Raw genomic sequence first — 2,313 nt, forward strand, 5'->3', positions numbered from 1 at the left:
GGAATCACATTTTAACATGAGATTTGGAGGGGACACACATCCAAACCATTTCAGACCCCAAATGTCATTGAGATTGCCTTTGGCCCTTTGTCATGTCTTCTTCATTTCATGACTCAAGCTGGCATAGTTACCTCTATCAGGGACACTGATAGTCTTTTGGCCGAGGGAAAAGAGATCTCAGAAACATCTCATGTCACTTCCATGCACATTTGGCTGAACAAAGCAGGTTACATGGCTTAAGGCCAACATCAACAGTGCAGGAAGTATACTTCCACTGCAGAGTGGAGCATCAAAGGCAAGGTTGTAAGTTTTAAATAATAATGCATTCTTTCATAGCAAGCCTTAGAGGTTTCAGGGGATTGAAATCATGCAGCATATGTATATATATACATATATACACATACACACATATATACAGACATATACACATATATACACATATACACAGATATATACATATATACACATATATAAATATATATACATATATATAAATATATATATCTCCATGATGCAATTAAGCTAGAAAACAATAACAAAATGATAATACAAAGTCCCCGTATGTTTGGATATTTAGGAAAATAGAAGTTCTGGATGACCCATATAGCAAAGAAAAATAATTATAAACTTAAAAAATGAAATTGCTATATATACCAAAACTTGTGAAATACAACTAAAGTCACACTTAGACATTTATAGCATTAGGTACCTACATTTGAGAAGAAGGTTTAAAAATTCATGAACTAAGCATTCAAGGCAAACATCAAAAAAAAAAACACAATCAAATTAAACCCAAATTAATTGGAGGAAAGAAAAGAATAAAGAGCTGAAAATATTTTTTAAAAATAGAAAACAAATAAAAGAATAATTAATAATTAAAATAGTAATAACTGATAATAATTCATTGAGAAAGGACTTGTATAACCTGAATGACACCTGTTGAAACAGATCTAGAAAAACAGCTGAAGGCACAGATAGCAATAACAGGAATGGAAAAGGAGACCTCAGTAAAAATTTACAGTCATTAAAAATATCAACATTATCATAAGCACATTTGTTTCAATGCATTTATTATGAAATTGGTAAAGTTGTGAGAAAGTGTCAATTCCCAGGCTGGCTAAAGCAGAAATATAAAACCTTAATAATCTTTTCACTTAAAAAAAATTGAAGCGTAATTATAAACCTTCCCACAAATAAAATTCCAGATCCAGATGGCTTACCAGTGGGTTTACCAAACGATTAAAGAATAAGTATTATCAATCTTTCACAAATTCTTGCAGACAATAGGGAGAAAAGGAGGAAACATTCCAGAACTAGTTTTAAAATGTAATCTTGATGTCAAAATTTGCTAAGGTAACTATGAGAAAGGATATATTACAGGTAATTTTACTCATGAACATAAATATAAAACCTCTAAATAAAATAATATCAAATCTAATCTTAAAAATTATAAATAATATAATCCACTATGACACATTAGGTGTATTCCAGGAATGCAAAGTTGATTTAACATTTGAAAATGAAGCAATGTAACTTATCGTATTAACAGAATAAAAGAGAAAAATTATGATTATTTGCATAGATGCAGAAATTTCTAAATAAAATTTAATATCCATTTATAATTTTACAAAAGCTTCCCAACAAACTAGAAATAGAAAAAAAAACTTTCTTAACTTGAAAAGGATCTACAGAAAACTTACAGCACACATCACGCTTAGAAGTAAAACGTGAAAGCTTTCTCTTTGAGATCAGAAAATGACAAAAGCGTTGCTGTCACCATTTTACTCAATATCATACTTGATGCACGTGAATAGAGTAGAGTAAGAAAAATAAATAAGAGATTTAATAATTGGAAAATAGTAAATACAAAAGCCACTATGATGTAATAAAATAGGATTATATATGAAGAGACTTTAGAAGAATCTACAGATAAATTGTTGTAATCAACAAGTTCAGCAAGAGAGGTGAGCAGCATATGTCTTAGTTCAGGCTGCTATAAAAGAATACCATCGACTGAGTGGCTTAAATAACAGTCATTTATTTTTCACAGTTCTAGGGGCTGGAAGTCCAAGATCAGGTTGCTGGCAGATTTGGTTCTTGATGGGGGCCCGCTTTCCAACTTGTGAACAGCCGCCTTCTCACTCTGTGCTCACATGGCCTTTCCTTGGTGCCTTCCTCTCTCTCTTCCTCTCCTAAAGGCACTGACCTCATCAGGGGGAACCCACTTTCATGACCTCATCTAAACTTAATTACTTTCCAAAGCCCACACCTCCAAATACCATCAAATTAGATGTTAGGGTTTCAATATATGGA

The sequence above is a fragment of the Homo sapiens genome, chromosome 2 (assembly GCF_000001405.40).
Source record: "Homo sapiens chromosome 2, GRCh38.p14 Primary Assembly".
In the NCBI taxonomy this organism is placed as follows: Eukaryota; Metazoa; Chordata; class Mammalia; order Primates; family Hominidae; genus Homo; species Homo sapiens.